This window comes from Homo sapiens, chromosome 21 (assembly GCF_000001405.40).
Source record: "Homo sapiens chromosome 21, GRCh38.p14 Primary Assembly".
Taxonomy (NCBI): domain Eukaryota; kingdom Metazoa; phylum Chordata; class Mammalia; order Primates; family Hominidae; genus Homo; species Homo sapiens.
In genome coordinates this window covers 29,560,590-29,585,400 of record NC_000021.9, presented here as the reverse complement: position 1 = coordinate 29,585,400, position 24,811 = coordinate 29,560,590, and the positions used below count along the sequence as shown (strand labels likewise).

At 38.5% G+C, this 24,811-nt stretch overlaps 1 protein-coding gene and 1 long non-coding RNA gene across 13 annotated transcripts in view, besides 1 other annotated feature; one reads left to right on the top strand and one right to left on the bottom strand.

Moving 5' to 3' along the window:
- The window catches only part of GRIK1 (glutamate ionotropic receptor kainate type subunit 1), a 403,064-nt gene that overhangs the window by 354,596 nt on the left and 23,657 nt on the right, over nucleotides 1–24,811 (top strand). For 11 of the 12 annotated variants that reach the window (NM_001320621.2, NM_001320618.2, NM_175611.3 and 8 more), the window contains 3 exons: nucleotides 3,858–3,976; nucleotides 8,220–8,437; nucleotides 23,552–23,777. In NM_001320621.2, the coding sequence (NP_001307550.1) occupies nucleotides 3,858–3,976; nucleotides 8,220–8,437; nucleotides 23,552–23,777 (563 nt within the window). Of the gene's footprint in view, nucleotides 1–3,857; nucleotides 3,977–8,219; nucleotides 8,504–23,551; nucleotides 23,778–24,811 lie in introns of those variants that run through there. The other variant, XM_047440744.1, reaches the window with a different exon arrangement.
- Nucleotides 8,072–23,751, bottom strand: LOC105372768 (uncharacterized). The gene is made up of 3 exons (XR_937647.3): nucleotides 23,656–23,751; nucleotides 23,493–23,568; nucleotides 8,072–8,371 (listed from the first exon to the last, which is right to left on the bottom strand). It is a non-coding gene; the product is annotated as an uncharacterized LOC105372768 (long non-coding RNA).
- Nucleotides 11,046–11,246: a silencer, noted in NCBI's record as "peak4397 fragment used in MPRA reporter construct". NCBI's record gives its function as "represses an SCP1 promoter by STARR-seq MPRAs in K562 erythroleukemia cells {active_cell/tissue: K562}" and the evidence as "EXISTENCE:reporter gene assay evidence [ECO:0000049][PMID:32103011]".

Sequence of the window (24,811 nt, the reverse complement as noted above, 5' to 3'; positions counted from 1 at the left end):
CTTTACACTTAACTCCAACTGTGCGCTTAAATCTCCTTATGTATGTCATCAGAGTATGTCAGAATGGCACGCCATTCAATAGTTTTCCCCTCTTTGTCTATTCTTCCATAAGCTCTTGGTGACCCAGACCTCCATATTTTTGGACTTCATTCAGTTTATTTCTATTAAGATAACAGTACCCCCACTACCACCATCAATGCAATCCATTCAGTAGTTCTACTCACCGAGAGTATCATTTATAAGCCAGTCCTCCCTTATTTAGCTTATTCTTCTTGTCTCCTCTTCCACTGCCTTCTTGCCCTTGTCTTGGTTCACACGTGGAGGTGTTATACATCCAGTGCAAACTTGGAAACAGTATAGTGACGAAATACAGAAAATAACTCCCTCCAGGGCACAAGTGTACTGTCATGAAGATTCTACTTTCAACTACATTTACCTTCTCTACACCTTAGAATCCATCCCTGCTTCTGCTTCATAAAGCCACTAAATATATATTTAGACTTGATTCCCAAAAACAAAATTCTGGTTGAGTAGATGTACCAAGTCACCTTTACTTCCTACCATCATAGTTTGAGACCATGAACTCCGTCACTCTGTACCCTCAGTTACCACCTTAGTGGTTTGCATTCCAAGTTAGGGAAGTGGACATGAAAAACAGTAAATTTCATAATTATCTATAGCTCTAGAGAGACTTTGGAATTTATGTTGTGAATTGTATTCTCTTATGTTCTTTTAAAGGGGAAAAATAAAGCCCCATCACTGCATTTAAGCAAATGCCTTCACTAGATAGATGCCTAAAAATTATTTGTTGAACTGAATTAAATTTATAAAGATGTAGACATCGGTGGGACAAACTAAGGAAAACAATATTTAATTACTATGACTTTTAATTAAGTGTGTATGTCAGGGTTTTTGTTTTGTGGTTGACAATGTTTCCACTTTTTGAAAAATATTTAACTTCAATAAATTATGTCCATCATAAACAATTTAAATAGATCAAATATCCAGATAGAATGTCTGCTTACATTTTATCATTTATGTTCGTCTTCTTAAAAATGGACATTTTTAAAGTTGGCATTTGGCAAAAAAAAATCTAGAAAACCCTTGAAAGTAAATTCTATGGTTACAATACAAACCCCACCATTATATTACAAGTTCAATAGAGCATTCTCCCTTGAAAGATGAATGGATTTTTCTCTCCTCAATGCAGCCTACTGTGCATTCTCAGCCACAAAAATTAGTCCCTTAATTAGAAAACTTCAGTGTGAGCTTGTTTTATATCTTCAAGTGTAAGCCAGGCAGAAACAAACATAAACCCAAAGTGAACTTTCACATTTCAACATAAGGCTACTCTTCTATATGCAAGTTTTGTCACAGGTTTTAAGCATGTTTCTTCCCTTCTCTATCATATTAGTAAAGATGAGTATTGATTTCTTGAGAGTCATTTGGGGATAGCAGTTTCGGATTATCTTTGGTGTAGGTCATATATTAATCTTTTCACCAGACTTCCTAATACTGACACTGCTGTCACACTGGCTATCTTTAAGCAGGTGTTAGGAATTCTAAGCTGAAATGTCTACATCCAGGCAACAGGTAGGTCTATTGCCTTATAAAAAGCCAGTGTCTTACAGCACAGCATCATGTCACTGTTTAATATTCACCAGACCACATGCTCCACAAATCACTCAGAATCCCAGAGAGAAAGACCTAAAATATCTCTGCAGAGCAGGCAGAATCACATTGCTGTTTAGACAGTTTTTCTTTTTGCCACACAAAAATTAGATTAATTGCTCTCTTATAAGTGCAAAGTATGAAACAAGACCAAGTTAAAAGCAGCATTCCAAAGAGGGAAGTGATGAGCTCATCGATGGGAGCATATCTGGGAGAGAAATGTCAGAATATTGAAGGGGGCTGGTGGTTGCCAAGTCTTACGGTCTGTTTGAAAAAATAAAACCCCTTCTCTTGAATACATTAGGCTCTTAATTTATTTCAATTAATATTTTTAAATTATTGTACAAGTGACAATGATAGTGTTTAAGTAACGGGATCTTTACTCTGCATGCTGTTTCCATTAATAGGTTCATTAATATTGGTATTCATTTCTTCAGCTCAGCAAACTACTATGGCTATAAGAGTGTGCAAATTCAAAACTTAATTATATTGTTGAAACATTAATTAAAATGTGTTGGCATGGCATTGTCAATTAAAGCTATATTCATCAGCTTCATAGGAACCTGCATGGTGTACCCTGCAGCTGTGGAGAAGCTGCAGTAATGAGTCGGATTCCATTATGCTGGCATAAACTACGAGACTGTTATCCCAGTCCCCCTAAGACTCAATGAGGAGGCACTGAACACTTTCCGGAAGGTGTCTGGAGGTTTAGAAAATGGTTTTTCATGAGGAGGAATTGTCTGCTCATTTCCTTGTGCTGGATTCACAGCATGCCCTGCTTTTCATATAGATAATGTATTCACCTCAAGCCCGGTTCTCCCCAGTGTGTCAGCAACCCGCCATTGTTTACTGCTGAAACTGTATGGCTGGAGAGCATTCTCTGTGTTCTCATGGGCTTTATGGTGTTTTTAACATTACTCTAACACTCCTGCTTGCATTGAAAAGACCCAATGGCAAATGGCTAATCTTCCAGTGCTAAAAATTACTGCATTTTAAATTATTTGCAGATCACTTCGTTGAGCTTCTGCTAATGTCTTTTTGGAAAAATAAGTACCACTTGGCAAGATAGTCCTCAAAAGTAACCACAGAGCAGAGACCTCCTTTGGGCTACATAGGTCAGACAGATGCTTAAAAAAATAGAGAAAGAACAAAAAATATATTTGGTTCCACAGATTTTTATTTTAAGTACACCCTCAGAGATATCTGGATTCCCTCCTCTTCACAAATAAGGAAATTGAGGCAATAGAGGTTGAGTGAATTTTTCAAAGTCGACTTCCCACACTACTATACTAGTTGTTTTTCCAGAAACGTTTACTGCCCATAGCGCACCACCTTGCAGGTAGACCTATAATAATGCTATAGAAAACATACCACTTACCGAACCAGGGTTGCTGATTAAGTGACCACAGGCCATGGTTCTGAAAACAAATTTAAAACAAATCAAAAGGAAATTATGAATTTGAAATTCTGCAGTGAGGCATGCTATGTAGTTAATACTAATGTGTACCACTAGGCCTGGACCAGTATAATTCCAAATGTATGCCTTGTCTCTTCCTTTAGGATCATGATTTTTCCCCGTGGACTATTCGAAAAACATCTAATACACTCCAAATTCAGCTCTACATTTTGTTCACTAATTTGTTCAGCCTTGCAATCCCTTTCATGCATTACAAAATCGCTAGACCACCACTTAGACTCCTTCTAACCATCTGTCCATACAAACCCCTTGAAGGCAAGTCACCCCTCTTTTTTGTGTCTCCCACAGGACCTAACGACACAATATCTTGACATTGTAGTTACTATGCAACAAGTGTGTGTCACATTCGTCGCTACTTGGTGGGGTAAATACTTGGGATGAGTGAACCTTTCTTTACAGTTCATCTAGTTGTTCAGTAATATGGAAATGAATGAAAACTCAGAAGAATTCAGTAGACATAGAGCTGAGGAGTACAATTCCAGCTGACCAATTTGCCTATAAATAAGAAGTCTGGTAAATATTAACGTCTCAAGGCTCTTTGCACTTTGCCCACCAAAGCTGTAAGTTTATGACTATGGCCTTTACTCTTTTGGTTTGAAGCTTTTGTGATTAATTGTTGGGTTTTCTGCATTGCTCAGCAGGTTTTGGTTTTGCTGGTGTCCTGTGTGTTTCTCTGATATTTACAGACTGTTTCTGTTAACTACCACAGGTTTACACCCTACGAGTGGTATAACCCCCACCCATGCAACCCTGACTCAGACGTGGTGGAAAACAATTTTACTTTACTAAATAGTTTCTGGTTTGGAGTTGGAGCTCTCATGCAGCAAGGTACACCGGTTGCCTATCTTTGTCACACGCATCCCACAGTGTGCTGACAGGCTTTCATGCTGGTAAACTCCACCATGAAGCTAGAGGGTAGGATGAAACACCATCTCAGGAACTTAAGAAAATAGCAACGGACTTTCTAGCCGGTTTTGAAGATGAAGCAAAACCAATGACCTATATGGAACTCCCTTGCTATATATCTAAAATAGCACTTCTATCAAGCAATAAATACAAATTTTCCTGTGGGTAGCAAAAGATAAGGTACCTTAGAAATCGTTTACAAATTTGCATAGATGGAGATGTTGGTCTTCTCCTTCTCAGCCATAACTCCACGAGTCAGCAGTTTAAAGGAGCGGGATCTAAATCCTTTGGAGATTAAATTCACTGAGATTCTTCCAATTGCCAACCTTACCTAGGACTTCCACCTAATTACTACTCTGGCAAACCCTACTGAGATTCATTTCAGCCTCCCAGTAACTTTTCACAATCTCCCTCAATTGGTAACCATAGCAACAATAAACTGTAGGAGTTGGGGAAATAAAATTTGGCCATAGAAATGTAATATATTTTATACATTTCCTATGAATTCGGGGATTCTGCTTTTGTAGTGGGGGAAGGGGGAGCTATTTTAACCTTTGGAAGAACTCCATTTCTTTTGTGATTTTTTTTTTCAGCTTCAATGTCAGGCATATGGTATAGAAAATTTTTCCAGGATTAAATGCACTAATATAAGAAAATCATAAGTCACAGAAACTGTTGTGTTCGGAATATATGTTCATTTGACAATAAGCTGCAAAATACATTGGCAAAGGAAAATTCCACTGGGATATACATTAAACATGTTTGCTACTTGGGGGTGAACCCTAAGGTTTCTCATTAGGGAATTGCTATAACACTTGAAATATTTATCTTTTGGATCTTCAAATTAGAGAGAGAGAGACTGTGGAAATACCAAATTATAATACTGAAATAGTAAATAGTTGAAGAAAGTGGGAAAATCCTAGTTACGCAATTAAGTATGGTTTGTGTGGGCACTGCTAAATAAGTATAGATGCCATCTGATTTACTAGAAGTAATTTGCATAAATTTAGAGCATAGCACAGAGGTATAAATCCTGCAGGAAACCCCATATACTACTTTACCCATGTATTTAATTTTTAGGATATTTATCTTGTGAGCAATTACTTTCAGAGTGAAGGAGACCCCTGCTCCTTCCCTATAGCTTGTCTTCTCTGACATTAGAAAATATATACATATATATATATATGTATGTGTATATATATATGTATATATATGTGTGTATATGTGTATATATGTATATATACACACATATATATACACACACATATACATATATATACACATATATATATACATATATACATATATACACATATATACATATATACACATATATATACATATATATACATATATATACACACATATATATATATATATACACACACACATATATATACTTTTAGGTTTCACAGAGCATGCATGCAGCTGGCCTGTGCAGGTATATGACTGTGACTGCCTTCTGTCATTGAGTGCACCCACCCCCGGAATTTATCTTTCATCTTTTACCTGTTTGGAGTTTACCATCATCCACAGCACACTGTGGGATGCAGTGTCTGTTAGTTACCACTACCTTGGGTACATGACAGTCAGCCCCAACCAGACTCTGCTTGTCATTCAAGAAGTTTACAAACATTTGTCAGGTGCAACAAATCTTTCCAGATACAAACTTGAGGTACTTGTGACTGTTAGTGCATCTGTCTCTAGCACGTGGCGTTGAACCAGGTAGTTATCCTCTGTTGCTCTCTCTTGTTAGCAGAAGCTTGTCACTGTACTCAATTGGAAAACATTTTGTTGAATTTTTTTTAAATGTGATGATCAGACTTTCTCTTTTCTACAGAGCGTGAGCAAAGTCTGGATCAGGATTGGCTGTCATGTCTGCCGTAAAAGGCACTAAAGAGACTTCAGCAAGTATTGTCTCTCATCCCAAATATTTTCTAGTAATGTTTTACTCAACTTTTAATGTTTGTATAATTTCATCCTCTAGAGTACTAAACTTACACAAATCATCTCTACTTGAAAGAAGCCATTTCTAAATAATTCTAACTAACATGGAGAATTACAAAATTCACAAAAATTAGATAAAAATAGAAAACATGAAGAAACATTGAGAAGTCTAATTGATGCCATCTAACAAGGGTTTAAAATGTAATCTCAATACGTTTCTATTAACATTTTTATTAAGTTTCTAAGGTAACTTTATCCAAAAGTTTAAATATGCATTCTAAAGTGTGAAAGATGTGAATTAGTATTATTACATGTCAACAGCCTGTTGTTCACCTGTCTGTCCACTCTTAATGCCATATAATACATAATTATACAAATATACAAATAAGTGAAAACCTTATGTTTTCATATGCAACCAAATAATGAAAGAATAAATTTACAGCAGAAAATCTGCACCCATAAGCTAAGAAAAATATATCTATTAATTGTTATTTATTTCCTATGGCTATTTTATGAAATAAATGGTATTTTAATGATAACCAACTAAAGAGCTAAAATAATATTACATTGCCACAAGACTGCTAGATCAATTAAGTACAAAGATATGAAACAACCTTGGGCATTAAACACACACACACCCACAGGCATATAAATCCCATTAAACCACAATATTAAAACAACAGCAGCAAACCATTCCACTAAATCCTTGGAGGCAATTTAATGGAAAACTATTATAAGTCTGTGTAATATTACCCACTCAAATTCAAACAAACGACAGAAGGAAACACAAATCGCTGTCAAACCATTTCCCTCATTAAAAGGGAATAAAACACAAAGATACGTAATAGCATTAGGAGAATATATCCGTTAATTCAAAGCCCAGAAACTCTGGCGACCTTGATCTGATTATCACTGGCCTTGAGCTGGCTGTGATTTCCTGAGCCGTATTTGCATCTGTTTATAGATTAAACCTTAGCACAAATTCATTTATTGGTAGACTGGTGAACTCCAATTTTCCTTTCCATCTTAAGCCATTATTAACGACAGAGCTTCAACACACCCTATCAGTATAGTAAAGGGATCCTATAGACCAGACAGCTGACCTACTGTACTTCACTCTTCGGGATTTTTAATTTAGGGTGTTTTTCTTTCACTTTTTATCTGGTCAGATAAACTCTGTCATGCCTTCAGGTTCATGGAGGATATGCTAAGTACAGAACCAATGGCAAATTTCAGGCAGATGAACAAGCCAAAATCCACTTGTGAATCAGTACAACTGGAGTGAACTCTAATTGTACTTCTCATTTATTCTAATTCTGCTGCTGAGTTTGAGCAAAATTGAACTAGACCGTTTTCAAGATGTTTGTCTTTTATGACAGTAAACTTAGCTCATAAACCCTTTCTTTTAGAGAGGAAGGTTTCCTTGGAAAACACATTAAGTGCCTCTATTTTATCATTTAAACATAATTTCAAATCATCTGAATGACATCTAAAATGTATATTCTTACCAGGAAAGTCTTCTTTCACCTAAGGAACAGCCTGTCTTTGAAGTGTAGTTAAGAAACAGCATTTTATTGAAGTACAAAATTATGCGTTGCAGAGAATGTGTTTTTTTAGCCAAATAAAAATCTACAGTAGAAAAAAGAATTGTAGCTTTTAAGGTAACATAAGACAATAAAAACTAATTCATCCACTGTCAAGTATGGCTGCATCTTATTTTATTTGTAAAATCCCAATGTTTTATTAAAGTATATGTGATAAATGGCATGTTAATATTTTACAAGTAGCTCTCATTCTTTAACCTTAAATAAAAATGTTAGCATTTCAAATATTTTCATAGTTATACAAAGACGCAGAATATTTTACTTCACACTATAAGATGCATTTAGACAGTAATAAAAGGCAAAAAGTCTTGGGGTTGACTTTTCAATTCTAAGCAACTAAACTAACTAAATTTTAGACATGGAATGCCTCCAGGTTAAAACTGTTTTAATACCATCAGCTACTGATAAATTATAGTTAAAGCAATAGTAGTGATTAATGATTTGAAAATAATCCTTAAGATTTTGCTCCATTTTCTATAAAATGCATTTATTTCATCTACCTACAAGACGGTAAGTCTTTTACAGGTTGATCTTCCTAGAATAGTGTCGAACTGTACATCTTCCCTTTCCTTCTGACTGTGTTTAACACCCTTACTCTGATGATACCATCACAGGATCAGAGCTGATGCCCAAAGCTCTATCGACCAGAATAGTTGGAGGGATATGGTGGTTTTTCACCCTAATCATCATTTCATCCTACACGGCCAATCTGGCTGCCTTCTTGACAGTAGAGAGAATGGAATCCCCCATAGATTCGGCAGATGATCTGGCAAAGCAAACCAAGATAGAATATGGGGCGGTTAGAGATGGATCAACAATGACCTTCTTCAAGGTAAGAAGCTGACAAAGTGTTCTCAGTGATTATCTGATACTTGTGGTAGAGTATAAAAGAATCTGTCGAAAAAAAAAAGAAAAAGAAAAAAGAAAAAAAGATGTTGGGTAATTTTTTTAATGAAATAAAATTTATAATTACATAATCCCATTATAAGGAATCCTTGAAGCCCCAGTCAGCATAAAGCAGTTTCTTTGGTCCCCAACTAGGTGTCATTTACTCCACCCCAATTTAGTGTACTCAGATCCATAGATCAATATCTTCAATATCCTCTCTTGCCTTTACACCAGAAAAAAAAAATCTGAATACAATCTAACCACTCATTAATTAATCACTCATTTATAGAACCCATAAAATAAAGGTTCCTTAATCAAGAATTCTGGTAACCAGAATACTTGAATATCATTATTTTGTTCTTTCGGTCCTGTACTTGATGAGATAGAAACAGATGACAAGAAAACGTGTTGATATTGGAATTTAGTTAGAGAATTAAGAACAAAAAAATCCCAGGAGACTCTGGTCTAATACTGAGTCCGCATTGATGAAGGACAGTGTTCCCAGCCATGCCTGAAGCTTTTCAAAATGTCTTCGGAGGCACCGCAGGAGAATTAAGTTGGATGAGTTTAGTTTTAGTGTCAAGGGCATTTCATTGTTGAGGTCTTTTTAATTACTTACCCATAGTAATGAAACTGATTTCTGCCTCGCTTTTGGAGGAAGCCTTAGTACTTTTATTATCAAATCTCAAATACTCTAATTCCAGTGAAAAATAGATTTTAATAGATCCAATAGGTGTAAAGATCATGAAGTTCAACTCTTCACTCTACTTATGAAAAGAACAAAACCTTCAGAAGCTAAATTACCTGCTCCAAGTCAAATACCTAGTCTATAACAGAGAAGGGGCTAAAGTTTTTTTTGGGAAAAAAAAAAGTATTAATGGTGGTAAATGTGCATGTGAATAAAAGGAAAACAACAGTTGTAAACAAAATAATCTCTAAAAACACCCTTGTCAAAGATTCATATTCAGATTACCAAAAATGGAGTTGTCACCTCAGCATTGAGTGGACTGTTTGGGGTTTTTTGTTTGTTTGTTTCTTTTGGGGGGCAGCTGTTTTTTTGTTTTGTTTTTTGTTTTGAGATGGAGTCTCGCTCTGTCGCCCAGGCTGGAGTCCAGTGGCGCGATCTTGGCTCGCTGCAACCTCCACCCTCCGGGTTCAAATGATTCTCCTGCCTCAGCCTCCCAAGTAGCTGGGACGACAGGTGCCTGCCACCACACCTGGCTAATTTTTGTATTTTTAGTAGAGACAGGGTTTCACCATATTGGCCAGGCTGGTCTTGAACTCCTGACCTTGTGATCTGCCTGCCTCAGCCTCCCAAAGTCCTGGAATTGCAAGCGTGAGCCACTACGCTCAGCCAGGGGTATTTTTTTTTAAATAATCTTTTCCTTTCTATTATTTCCATTGAGTTCAAAATGAACTCTTTTTCTTCTTTCATTCTTATTTCCTTTTTAAACATTGTTTATAGATTTAGGAGGTATAAGTTGCATTTTGTTAGATGGATATAGGGCTTTTAGGGTTTCCATCACCCAAATAACATACGTTGTACCAATTAAGTAATTTCTCATCTGTCAGCCCTGCCACCCTCCCACCCTTCTGAGTCTCCAATGTCTATTATTTTTTGAGTGGACTGTTTGACTTGTGAAAAATACCAGCTTAGAAACAAAAACTAAGGTTAGGAAAAAAAAGTACACATTTCTTTGTATAACACTATTGGTTCACAAAAATAGGAATTAACTATACAATAAGTTATAATGTTTAATAACAATAATAAATAAAAAGGTATTGTTTTAAAAGTTAACTATATCTAGAGTTTTATCAAGAAGCAAAGTAATGGAAAAAGTAGGACTTACTTTTCTTCTGTGTTAAAAAAGATTTTTAAACACTTTTTATTTTAAGAAGTGTATCATTTATTTAGGCCGGGCGCGGTGGCTCACGCTTGTAATCCCAGCACTTTGGGAGGCCGAGGCGGGCGGATCACGAGGTCAGGAGATCGAGACCATCCTGGCTAACACGGTGAAACCCCGTCTCTACTAAAAAAAAAAATACAAAAATATTAGCCGGGCGTGATGGCGGGCGCCTGTAGTCCCAGCTACTCGGGAGGCTGAGGCAGGAGAATGGCGTGAACCCGGGAGGCGGAGCTTGCAGTGAGCCGAGATTGCGCCACTGCACTCCCGCCTGGGCCACAGAGCGAGACTCCGTCTCAAAAAAAAAAAAAAAAAAAAAAGAAGTGTATCATTTATTTAATGTATGTGTAAAGCATGGTGATTGTTTCTTCTTTGGACAGTGATGTTCTAAAGACAAATGACATTACGGCTTTGCAAGCTGCAGAAAGTATTTTCCTAAAATCAATAGTGTGAAGAGACACAAGATACCCCAAGCTAGTGATTCATCATGGTCCTTGTCAGAAACAAGGAAGGTCACTTGCAAGGCTCACAGGACAGAGGGGCACTGGCAAGATAGAATTTGGTATATCTGAAAAAATATCTGAAATGATTTATCTCATTCAGCAATATCAAAGAGTTTTAAAGTACTGGGAAATGGGCTAGCAGAAGGCAGAGAAGATTCTACTTCCTTCAAGATGTTCAGCACAAATGTAAGGGAAAGAGGCTGTGCCGTTCTTTGAAAAAGCAATAGACCTGACTTTGCCACTGTACACAGGATCTATGCACAGGCTGTGGATCCCTTATCTGAAATGTTTCAGACCAGATGTTTTTAGAATTTTGGATATTTTCAGGTTTTAGAATGTTTGCACATACATAATGAGAAAACCTGGGGATGGGACCCAAGTCTAAACAAAATTTATTTATTCATCATATATACCTTATGCATATAGCCTAAAGGTAAGTTTATACAGTATTTTAAATAATTTCGTACATGAAAAAAGTTTTGACTGCAACCCATGCCATGAGGTCAAGTGTGGAACTTTCCACATGGGACAACATGTCAGTGCTCAAAAAGTTTCAGATTTGGGATTTTTCAGAATAGAGATGCTCAACCCAGATTTACAAAGTGTCCTTTAAATGACAAAGTGTCACTTTTTTTTTTTTTTTTTTTCCAGACGGAGTCTTGCTCTGTCGCCCAGGCTGGGTGGAGTGCAGTGGCGCAGTCTTGGCTCACTGCAACCTCCTCCTCCCGGGTTCAAGCGATTCTCCTGCCTCAGCCCCCCGAGTAGCTGGGATTACAGGTGCATGCTACCATGCCTGGCTAATTTTTTTATTTTAATAGAGTTGGGGTTTCACCATGTTGGCCAGGCTGGTCTCAAACTCCTGACCTCAAGTGATCCACCTGTCTCGGCCTCCCAAAGTGCTGGAATTACAGGCGTGAGCCACTGCGCCCGGCCCCTTAAGTTCACTTTGATCTTTTCTGTCTCAAACTCCTGACCTCAAGTGATCCACCTGTCTCGGCCTCCCAAAGTGCTGGAATTACAGGTGTGAGCCACTGCGCCCAGCCCCTTAAGCTCACTTTGATCTTTTCTTTCTCATGCCCCTCTTTAAGTATAAAAAGAGCGGGTTCTCCTTTTTCCTGGCAGGACCCTGAATGACTACATTACGACATGTTTGGATAATGCACTTCCACTGAACAGGTACATGCTATGTTCACAACTGCTGCTCCCTGAGCATTTTCTGAGAAGGCTCCTGCTTTCTCCCTGGTCCTGAAAATGAGGCATCAATGCAAGCATTCTCTCAGGTCACCAGGAAAATGATGAAACAATAAGCACCTCAGAGAGGAAGAATGTGATGATAGTACAAACAGCATCAATAAAAATAGCAGTACGCCCTGTGCACTAGCCCTTACCTGTGTTACCTCATTTTATCTTTAAAAAAGACCAGTTGAGCACCAGGCGCTGTGGCTCACACCTGCAATCCCAGCACTTTGGGAGGCCGAGGCTGGTGGATCACCTGAGGTCAGGAGTTCAAGACCAGCCTGACCAACATGGAGAAACCCCGTCCCTACTAAAAATACAAAAATATTAGCCCGGCGTGGTGGCACATGCCTGTAATCCCAGCTACTCGGGAGGCTGAGGCAGGGGAATTGCTTGAACCAGGGAGGCTGAGGTTGCAGTGAGCCGAGATCGCACCATTGCATTCCAGCCTGGGCAACAAGAGCAAAACTCCGTCTCAAAAAAGAAGAAGAAAAAAAAAAGACCAATTGAGCTAAATACCAATATTATCCCTATTAATGAGGAAAATGAGGCACAGACAGGCTAGATAATTTACCCCAAAGTTACAAAGCTAGCAATGGAAGAGCCAAGATTCAGCAAAATTCAGAGAGTTCTAGAAAGTCAGTTCCATGAGAGTAGAAACTCGGTCTTCTTTGTATGACATTAAGTCACCAGAATCTAAAAGAGTGCCCAGCCGTATAGTAGGCATTCAGAAAACTATGTTTTCAATAAGTGAAAAAGTAAACTCTGGGAGAGGTGGATTTCTATCAGAGAGAGGGAGGGAGAGTGAATGAAGGAGCAAAGGAAGGAAGCCGAGAGGGAAAGAGGGAGGGAGAGAGGTGGATGGATACATAGGGACCCACACAAGAAGAGACACTGTTGCCAAGTTCCTCATTTTACAAGCTAGCTTGTGGCCCAGCAACCCAGTTTACCGAGAAGAAATGTATTTGCAGAAGGAGAACAAGGACTAAATCCGATTTAGTTTTCCCCTCGAGGATGGTAAGCTGTCAGAAAGCGTCAGAGGGATGTACACTCAGGTTCTTAAGCTGGATTATTCCACAAGGGAAAGAAAAGTTTCGGCTTTTTTGCTCTCGGGGTAGTTCCGCCCTAAATCACTGAGTGACAGCAGGTACAGTCACAAGGACTCAGTCCTGACCTGGCTCCACATGAACATGTTTCACCTCTGCTGTGCCATCAGGGTCTCCCTCCTCCAGCCCTTTCTCTGTCAGTTAAAGACAATAACCTCTCTTGAGCTGTAGAATGAATAAGGAAACTACCTTTGCCTAATCTAACCTGGAGCATCCTGATCAGTTTTTGGAGCACAAGTCATTTGCTAAGATGGGTCCTGTCTCCACTCAATCACAAGGAAACTTCTAATGAGAAACGTTTTCTCATCACAAACAGTGTAATTTCAAGTGTTTTTCTTCTCAGAAAAGCAGTATTCCTCTGGCAGTACCCAAATGATAAAAACTGGTCTTTTTACTTTCAAGTTGATTTAAAATCATTTTATAGCCAAAGAATGGCCAGTTGCAGGGAGGAAAGGGATTCAGACATTTTCAAGATCCATGATCAAACAAAATACTCGAATGCCTCACATTTGGTCGCTAGGCCACAAGCAAGGGATGTGCTTAGTGAAGTTTGTCCTTGAAATGTGTGCCCAGAAGTTGCTCGCTAAAATTTCATTCAAAATCCGTTGACTTTTTCTCCTAGACTTGGCTATTCTTGCAGACAGCATGACACTCTACATTTTAGATCTGATGTATTTGGTTCTCAACAAGAAGAAAACCAAAATTTAGTTTTTTAAAATAGCTCAGGTGAGATTCCACTATCTACCACCTGAGCTCATATAAGGCTGAGGGAACTAAGTGGAATTTTTTTTTTCTTTTTTTTTTAATGGAGTCTTGCTCTGTCGCCCAGGCTGTAGTACAATGGCGTGATCTTGGCTCACTGCAACCTCTGCCTCCTGAGTTCAAGCAATTCTCTGCCTCAGCCTCCTGAGTAGCTGGGATAACAGGCACCCGCCACCATGCCCAGTTAATATTTTGTGTGTGTGTGTTTTTAGTAGAGACAGGGTGTTTCACCATCTCAGCCAGGCTGGTCTTGAACTGACCTCGTGATCCACCCGCCTCAGCCTCCCAAAGCGCTGGTATTACTGGCATGAGCCACTGCGCCCAGTGGAAATTTTTTAAACAAATGCTAGCTCAAGCTAAGACGTGACTGAGACGGGGAGGCAGTGGCAGTTTTCCTTCAGGGTCATTCATATATGGAGCAACATTGCTCATCAAGGACTGTATTTACACAAGAGAATAGGATTAAATCATAAATTCAATTCCACATATTCTTGTGAAACTTTAATGGACATCCTGAGATTCTACCTCACTTTGTCCATCAAAAAAAAAAAAAGCAACTCTAAGTTTCGATCACTCAGCTAATGATGCTTATTAAGGCTTATGTTGTCACAAGATCATCAACACTCTGGAACTTACAGTTCAATCACTATGGGAAATACAATAGCCTATTTGGTCAAAGGGTCTCAGGCACCCCAAGACCAATTAGCTGGCCAAGGTTAAAGGGAGGCAGAACATTTATCAAGTGTTCAGGTACTGTTGGAGATGTTTTGGGAAATTCTTCTCTGAATATGAGGCGATCGGCATCAAATTAATTAATGGCCTATGTTTATGGGTCAGTGTATTAATAATTCAGAACTTCAACAGACTCTATTTAAGAGAATTTTTTTTTTTTTTTGAGATGGAGTCTCACCCTGTCGCCCATGCTGGAGTGCAATGGTGCGATCTTGGCTCACTGTGACCTCCGCCTCCCAGGTTCAAATGATTCTCCTGCCTCAGCCTCCTGAGTAGCTGGGATTACAGGCGCCTGCCACCACGCCCAGCTATATTTTTTTATTTTTAGTAGAGACAGGGTTTCACCATGTTGAACAGGCTTGTCTTGAACTCCTGACCTTGTAATCCACCGGCTTCGGCCTCCAAAAGTACTGGGATTACAGGCGTGAGCCACCATGCCCAGACTATTTAAGAGAATTTTTAATAAAATCCCTCTCATTTCTGCTTGACATAATACTAATTAATAATCCAGATTTAACTCTATTGGTTTCTCTGTTCTCTGCTGATGAAATTATTTGGTCCTTTCAATTGTTTCTCAAGTCTGAACAGTACAGGATTTCCTTCGCTCCCAACTCCCTGGGACCACCACCAGCATCTTAGGAGATGCAAAGATCAGTCAGTTCATAGCCAAGCTCTATGGACACAACTTGCATTCAGCTTTCCTAGGGGCTACATGACCTATTTCCATCTTTTATATCCAAGACAACTGACAAGATGACAACAATGACAGCCAATTCCAACTTTTCCTTTCAGAAATAGTATGCTAAGATTCTGGTTTTCTCTCCCACAGGAAGTCAGAAATGTACAACGGCTCTGTTCTTCTTGTTGGAATTCTATTAATTACCTTATGAAACAATAAGATAGTCCAAACTGTGGTCTCACAGTGATAGTGTAGAAAGTCACATTTTTTTTCCCCAGATGAAGAAAGAATAGTCATGATAATGTCTAAGAACCGTATGCAGCCTAAAAGAATGGATTTCCCAATGATCCTTGTGAACCATCATCCAAGGAGGATAATGCTTTTAGCCCATGGATCAGAGAATGGGAATACCAGCTAGTCTTCTTCTCAAGAAATATGACCAACATCTTATGCTGGGATATAAAGTAAAACCTACAGGAAAGTGTTTTTGTTGGAGATCTGGACCCAGAGAGCCTGGGTTCTACTACATATAAGTTATGTAGACCTTGGCAAGTAACTTAAACTCTCTGTACCTTGATTTCCCAGTCTATAAATTGAGGATGACTTCTAACTCAAAATTATTTTGAGGATTTAATGACTTAGTAGAGGTAATATGTTTATACTACCACTTAGTACACTGTAAGCAATAAAAACATTAGATATTATTGTAACTATCACTTATAACATCATCACCATAATTATTCAACCCTTACCTCTAGCTATTAGTCCTATTTTTTCAGTCTCTCTAGATTTATAAATATTTTGGTTTGGTCTCTGTTCAGCTTCCTTACTGTCAGTCATCTCTGCAGTGTCTGCCTTCTGCTAAAGGACAGAAAAGTCCAGAAGAAGTGTCAGTGCCCAAGATCTCAAAGATTTTTGGAGGCCTGGCCAGACAGCAACCCTAGGCCTTGGAGGCCCTTCTTGAGCACATACATTGCATATGCCGAAGCACTTACCAGATGGTAGGTAGGCAAAAGATGGTAAGGCTGCCCTTAGAATGCAGACAAGAAACAGAGTGAGGCAATTCAGTTTAATTCAGTTTAATTCAGCTCAATTGATATTTTTGCAGGGTCCTCAATATGGTCAGTACTGAGGTTAGCACTTAAGAGGGAAAAAGGTATAAAATCATGAGCAAGACATGAAGATCTGAATAGCAATACAGAGACAAGAGGTATGAATACCTGTTAAATACAACACAACATGTGGTTGCATTGTGCAGACAGGAAGTAGTGGCAGAATTTCTTGTGAGCCAAATTAGCTATGAAGTATTCATGTAAGAAATACTTCTCAGTAGAAGCTTGCCTTGTAACAAATCACTATCCTCCCAGACTCAAGCCAGAGGATTACACAGATTAAATTGTGATTCAGTCTAAAATGACTTGGATAAAATAGGTTTTAAAACATCATAAAAGACTTGTCATTTCTGGCTTTCATGGTCTAGGGACTTTGGACCAGCTGTGGGAACAAGGGATTCTCTAACCTTTATCATCTCTTTCCAGGGAGTGGTTAGGTGCTGTCACCAACCCAAAAGACATTTCAGAGAAGTTACTGGGCACTGCACCAGTGGAAATGAAGCAATGAGCCATTGTAGGGAGACAGATTTCAGACAGTTATAACCATTTCAGGAAGCAGAAGATGAAAGCCATTTCTCAAATACTCTGCATAGGAAGGCACTCTTCACATAAGAGTTCCTAGCTTATGTTGGAAAAATCCAGCTAATTTTACCATCAGTGTCAGAAATGTTAGGTCTCTGTAGGTTAAAAGTGTATTTGTTTGGGAAGAAATCTATGAGGTCAATTCAACCTTTTTCAAAGGCTGGAAGATTGCCTGTAATAGACCAATCTTTAACTCTAGACAGGAGAAAAACATGAAAAATATTTTAGCAAATCTGTTTAAATCCCGCTGAGGGAATTTTCTAAAGGGAATCCATAAATTTTTTAAATGTTGGAGAGTCTGCAAATGTCATAACTTTTCATCAAATCAAGATAAAGACATAATCAACTGCAGTGTTCATATTATACACATTTGGAAGGCAGAGGTCCTAACTATACTATAAATATTTTCTTCTGATCATCTTCCTTCAAAGCGATTTTTGTAAATTAAATCATATTTTCAAAATAGCATGAGAATTTATTATTTAATGAAATAATATATTAATCATGTCTAAAAGAAATGGTTGTTTTTAAGGCAACTATTCACCTCTGATGTACCTATTTCGCAAGTATGAAGTTCTACATAGCCAATGTCTATGTCTTTGGTTAATTTTTAAGGGTTGTCTTAAATCAGGATTTGCCTAAAGTAAAATTAAATTGGAGATCTTAAAATATAATTGTTTGTGATATTTCATTTGTTCTATATGCATATATTTACATTTATAAGATCACTTTTGATAAGATAAAAAGATCAAATATCAATAACTTATTTCTAATGTATATTTCAGTGTGTAGAGTAAAAACATACATAAACACAGATCGATATATAAAATCATCAGCCATATTAGTGTGAAGTAGAATTGCATGATTACTGATTCTACTGAAAAATGAGATTATACATCCTAACTGTGAAAGTCTTATAAAAACTGGTGGAAGAAATAATGTGATAAATAATAGTTATCTCAATAAAAAAGAAACATTAGAGGGATATTTTATAAAATGGAGTCCATCAGGCTTAAGACCACACTACACCCTAGAATTTGCACATATTTTATTTACATTGTGTGATGGAAATCCTGTAACTAAAAACAGTGAAACTATATGAAAAGCAAAATACTGTTAAAGGAAAGGAAACAATATAAACAAGTCACATTTTTTCCAGGTTCTAACTGTTGCACTTCCTAAAACACTGTCTAAATTCTTGTCTAAACAAGTGTAAGCTATTAAAAGTCAGGTAAATAGTTTCTGTACATTATATGATGAGTACAACAGCTCTGGCTATAATAGAAAGATCCCACAGCTACTTGTTTCGATTATTTCTTTAGAAAATTTGTTAATTCTGTGGAAACATTAGCTGTGGAAACATTAGCCAAGCCTTGAGTTTGCTGCTCTGTGTATTAAGAGATAGTTCATTCCCTGTTGTTTAAGAACACAGACCCTGGAACCAGATTACTGGGATCAAATCCTGGTTTCCTCATTTCTTCATGTGCTGTTCTATTTCCTCATCTATAAAAGAGAAATAATAATGGTACGTCTTTCATATGATTACCGTGAAGATTCGATTAATCAATATATGCAAAGTTCTTAAAATAGTGCTTGCTACACAGTAAATAAACACTGCATATGTTGGTTGCTGTTACTATTTTCAATAAGTAATTTTTAATGCCTGCAAACATTATAAACTATTTCCCAGTGAGTGTTTAACTTGAATGTATTATAGGGGGAAAAAAGAAATAAATAATGTTCATCAAACATTGATGCAGTAACACTCCCTTATAACAGATTTGAGATGAAAAATGCTATTCTTTGCCAACAATGTTTCATCAGCATGAGGATAGCCACATAATCAGATTTAAACAGATAAAATGCATTTATCTAAACAGATGCCTCTCAGGATTAAAAAGAAAAAATCCTGGGTGATTTCAGATTTAATAAATGAGGCTTTTTCAGTTTTAGCAACTTTTGCTAAGAAGCTCAGAAGACATTCCAAATATTCTAATTAACTTTTGACATATCTAGTGAAATAAGAGGCAACCACTATTTCTGTTTTTGGAACATATATTATTTAGAGTGATTTAGGAGACTGGTTGACATTATATGTGATTTAGAAGTACAAAAACACCCAGGCTGTCATTTTAACACTTTGCCTGGTCTTTTAATATGTATGATAATTTTTCATGAAGTATAATCCTATTTTTAAGAATTACTAAGATTTGAGACTCAACCATGAAAAAAAGTCTGCTGAAAGGAATACATGTAATTTACTCCCAACATTCTACTTTTTTATCTAACAAAAAATAAACATTACTGAGCGTGGCATGCAGCGGACAGAACTCTGCAGTAAAGAAGAAAGAGCCCTCAATTCTGTGCTGTCTCTTCCACTAACCCTCTGCCACCTTCTGTGTGTCATTTGCTGTCCCTGACCTCAGGACCTGCATATGTGATAGGAAGGGGTTGGTCTAGAGAGTAGAACGTGGTGGTTGAAGCATCTCCTTATGTGAAACTCGTCTAAGCATGACATACTCCTTGCAGTTGCCTAGTGATAGAAAACTCACTATACCGGCTGGGCATGGTGGCTCATGCCTATAATCCCAGCACTTTGGGAGGCCGAGGCAGGTGGATCACATGAGGTCAGCAGTTCGAGACCAGCCTGGCCAACATGGTGAAACCCTGTCTTTACTAAAAATACAAAAAATTAGCTGGGCATGGTAGCAGGTGCCTGTAATCCCAGCTACTCAGGAGGCTGAGGCCGGAGAATCATTTGAACCCACGAGTCAGAGGTTGTAGTGAGCCGAGATCGTGCCATTGCACTCTAACCTGGGGAACAAGAGTGAAACAACGTCTCAAAAAATAAAAAAGAAAGCTCACTACACCTTTAAGGTGCTGAAGCTGTCTGCAGATATTTCTACCTATTAAAAAAAGTTATTCCTTAGCCACATTTTGGGTCTTCCTGCAAACTCTAATTTCCCTAGCATCCCAAGTAGCCTAGAACTCTAACTGTGAAACACAATAAAGCCCCACAACAGCAAACTTTTTAAACGACGAAAGAGAGCTCTAAATAACAGCAAAATGCTGCTCTTCTTGCTCCCATTATGTTTACTATTACTGTGCTCTAGTGAGAATAGCAAGGGGTCAAAGGAATTTATAACACTTCCTATACCTTCAACTTACCAAGTCCCCTACCAAGTAACAGTTTTCTGTCAGAGAGAAAGTTCTGCCCTCCCTGCTCAAAGGTGTCCATGCCAACTAGACTTCCCCTGTAGCTCCCTGGGAGAGGTCAGGCCTAGAACAACCTTCTACTCCAAGAAGGAAGATGTGGATGTTGTTGAATTTAAATCCATTATCTCTGTTCCATAGAGCCATGCTACTCAAAGTGTAGTGTGAAGAGTGTGCTGGCTCAGGAAACATTTTGTTACTAAGCTGTGACAAGGAGAAGAATACTGAGAGTAAGCGTTTAGAAATGTTGCAGCTGTTGAATACTGAGGTTGCACTAAACTCATGACCTCTCTTACCCGTGGATTAGACCACCTGCATACTGTTGAATACTCACAGAGTGAGTCACAGGTGGTATGACCTACATATTCGTCCCATGCAGGAGGACCAAAGCTAGGTCTGCCATAGATTGAAAATAATGAAGTCCTTCACTTCAGATAGTTTAGGTTTAGAGTTGAATCGTGTCATCCTTTCCCATATCCTTCAATTCCCCAGATGAAATGAAGGACTCCCCACACTTTCTCCATTTACCGTGGATGAACTAAACATTGACTTTGTTTTTGACTTCCATAAACCACAAATTCAGTTTTCTAACAATTTACAACACTCGTTTTAATAAAATATAAATGTGGTGCGGCCGGGCGCGGTGGCTCACGCCTGTAATCCCAGCACTTTGGGAGGCCGAGGCGGGCGGATCACGAGGTCAGGAGATCGAGACCATCCCGGCTAAAACGGTGAAACCCCGTCTCTACTAAAAATACAAAAAATTAGCCGGGTGTAGTGGCGGGCGCCTGTAGTCCCAGCTACTTGGGAGGCTGAGGCAGGAGAATGGCGTGAACCCGGGAGGCGGAGCTTGCAGTGAGCCGAGATTGCGCCACTGCACTCCAGCCTGGGCGACAGAGCGAGACTCCGTCTCAAAAAAAATAAATAAATAAATAAATGTGGTGAAAAAATTTAATGTTTCATAAAATTTTTCTATGTGAAGGTTGATTCCTATTTCATATTAATATGTAACTAACTAGCAACCCACCTCAGGGAATAATGAGTCCATGAATAAAAGCTATATTTTCACATGTAGATCAAATGAGATTAAAATCATTCTCAAAAGCATTTTGGCAATATAGACATCCACCTCCCCCAAATCAGCATGGTACAGTGGAAAGAGCATTGAATTAGATATTAGGTGTGCTGGAGTCCAGAATTAGCTCTGGTATTAACTTGCTTTGTGACTTTTTGAAGTCTCAAAGCCTTCCGTACTAAAACTTCCTCCTCTGTGACAGTAGCAGTTTGTATGAGCCGATCTCTAAAGTCTCTGACAACTTTAAATTTTATACTTCAAAGAAAATTATTTTCCCTTAAGGTAGTTTCCTGATGGAAGAATAATTTTCGCAGCTGTGCATTTACTGCCACAAGATAGACTGACCTTTCTGCGCTTGTATGAGTAGCTCTTTTACTATAAGTTTAGCATTATCAGACTTTGCAAGGCTGAAATCACACAACAAATGAAGCAGTAAACCTGACCCCCAAAACACGCCTTTGTTATGGGGACATGAGCTGCAGCTTGCAGATATCTCCGGGGCTGTGGCATAACTCACAGGGGCCCAATATGACACAATGGGTTCCACAAAATACCAATATCTATAAGGTACTGTTTATTGAATTGTTATTTGTCTCACAAGACCTTTCTCAGGGGGATTTTCAATGCCTAACAATCTGAAATAAAGCCATCTGTCCTCCCCTAACTCATAAACCCTACAGTATTAACCCAGGTCCTAAATAGAGGTTGGAATTGAGTGGCCCCCAGGAACACCTGGGCATGAATAACCGTGATAGAGTTGACTCCGCAGGTATTCCATTTTTTGCTTATGGCCCAAAACCATGTTTTAAGCTTTCCTGAACTACGGAGATGGTGCATCCTGTGCCTGCCAAGGGATTTGTCTAATGTGTGCGAGCACTATATATAACTGTGATAACTGGGGTTAGCTTAAAAATACCAATAATTCCCATAATGTTTTTCATCTCTGAAATAAGTGGAGAATGCTGATGCAAATGAAGAAAAATTAAAAAAAAAAATTGGAACTGTATGGAAATTACAGAGTAAAATGCAAAATGTCTAATCATAGATCACTATTCAAAAGAATGGAAAATTCATATTTAAGTAATATGAAAATTTAGGCAGTATACTTTAGCAAAAAAAGATAATGAAGCAGTGGTACATATGTATATGTGCATATATTACATAACATATATAATTTATTACTGAATCTATCAAAAAGCTGAAGAATATGAGAAAAGACAAATATATTAATAGAACACTTTGAAATGAGATATTCAGTCCCCATTATCTAAAATATGATTACAATTAAAATTATACACATAAAAAGGCATATAAATACAGTATGAAGATTTTTCTTCTTTTTTTTTTTGAGACAGAGTCTCGCTGTTTTTGCCCAAGCTGAAGTGCAATGGCACGATCTTGGCTCACTGCAACCTCCACCTCCCGGGTTCAAGCGATTCTCCTGCCTCAGCCTCCTGAGTAGCTGGGATTACAGGCACATGCCACGACACCTGGCTAATTGTATTTTTTCAGTAGAGACAGGGTTTCACCATGTTGGTCAAGCTGGTCTCGAACTCCTAACCTTTATGTGATCTGCCCACCTCGGCCTCCCAAAGTGCTGGGATTACAGGTGTGAGCCACCAGGCCTGGCTGAAGATTTTTCTTATCTAAATTTTAATTTGAAAAGAGCATTTACATTCTGGGTTTTCTAGAAAAGAGAAGAGTGAATGACAGTTCTCTCACAAATAAAGCAGAGGAAGTCAGTGGTTTACTCCAGGGCTCTCCCCAGCAGAAGAATGCTAGATCAAGGATTGAAACTTATACACCTGGAAACAGCAAAACAATACCTGCTGGAGTTGAGTGATTGAAAGGAAAATGCATGAAATGAACAGAGTCCTGGAGTGAGCTAGTCACCCCTTAGCCCAGTGGGCCACAATGGCTTATAGATCAAGGTCTCCATGTAATAGCTGCCTCCGTGCAAATGCTGTCCAATAGTGAGTGAACTGGGCTCTTCTCAGCTACAAAAGTGAAGCCTTGAGATCATCAATCTTGACTCCCCCACCTGTGGAGAAAGTATCCTCCCTATCATTATTTGAACCATTGGGACTTTGAATACCTTTAGGTCGTATTTTTCCAGCCCTCTTCTGCTGGTGAGTGTGTTTTCTTTCCCTCCAGAAATCAAAAATCTCCACCTATGAGAAGATGTGGGCTTTCATGAGCAGCAGGCAGCAGACCGCCCTGGTAAGAAACAGTGATGAGGGGATCCAGAGAGTGCTCACCACAGACTACGCGCTGCTGATGGAGTCCACCAGCATTGAGTATGTGACGCAGAGAAACTGCAACCTCACTCAGATCGGGGGCCTCATTGACTCCAAAGGTTACGGAGTGGGAACACCTATTGGTAAGACGGGTAGACATGAACCAAGACTGAGATACAGAATGTCAGTTACCAGTATAGAAGGCAATGGGCTCAGAGTTCTTTATTCCAAATTCTGAGAAGGCCTACAATGCCATTAGTGAACTAATAATGTAAACATCCATATAGATCAGAGACATAGTCTGAATTACAGATTCCCAGATATTTAACTTAATATACTTTTAACCAGTGTGTCTTTCAAGTTTTACCAACACATGTTTAAGAATATATAGATTTTATTATTTCACCCCAAATATCTTAAAGAGAATATATTTCTAATTAATCCTCTTCACATTGTTTCCTTCAATACCCATATATGCCTATATAATGTATCTGCCTTAAATTAGAATAGAAGAAAGTTGATTCTGCATATGGACAGCAAAAGTGAGAGGGCTAGTGTTCCATAATGATAGATGAAAAAGCAAGGCTATATCAGTCAAAAGAAAAAGGATAAAGATTAAATTATAAGTCTGATGTGCTCAGGCAATGTTACATTCAATCAATGCCAACTATGTAAAATCTTCAAATTCCTTAGTTCCATGCTATTGCTCTCCTAGGAATATTATTGCCTAGGTATATAGACCCATATAGCAATGCATTCTTGTACGTCTATAGGAGACATGAATAGAATTTAAGGGGTAATTAGTGATTTCCTTTCCATAGAAAACTCCCTCTCTATTTTTTCCCTCTCTATAGAAAACTGTATCATGGCCAGGCGCGATGGCTCACGCCTGTAATCCCAGCACTTTGGCAGACCAAGGCAGGCAGATCACGAGGTCAGGAGATCGAGACTATCCTGGCCAACATGGTGAAACCCCGTCTCTACTAAAAATACAAAAATTAGCTGGCTGTGGTGCCATGTGCCTATAGTCCCAGCTACTCAGGAGGCTGAGGCAGGAGAATCATTTGAACCCGGGAGGTGGAGGTTGCAGTGAGCTGAGATGGTGCCACTGTACTCCAGCCTGGGCAACAGAGCGAGACTCCATCTCAAAAAAAGAAAGAAGGAAGGAAGGAGAGAA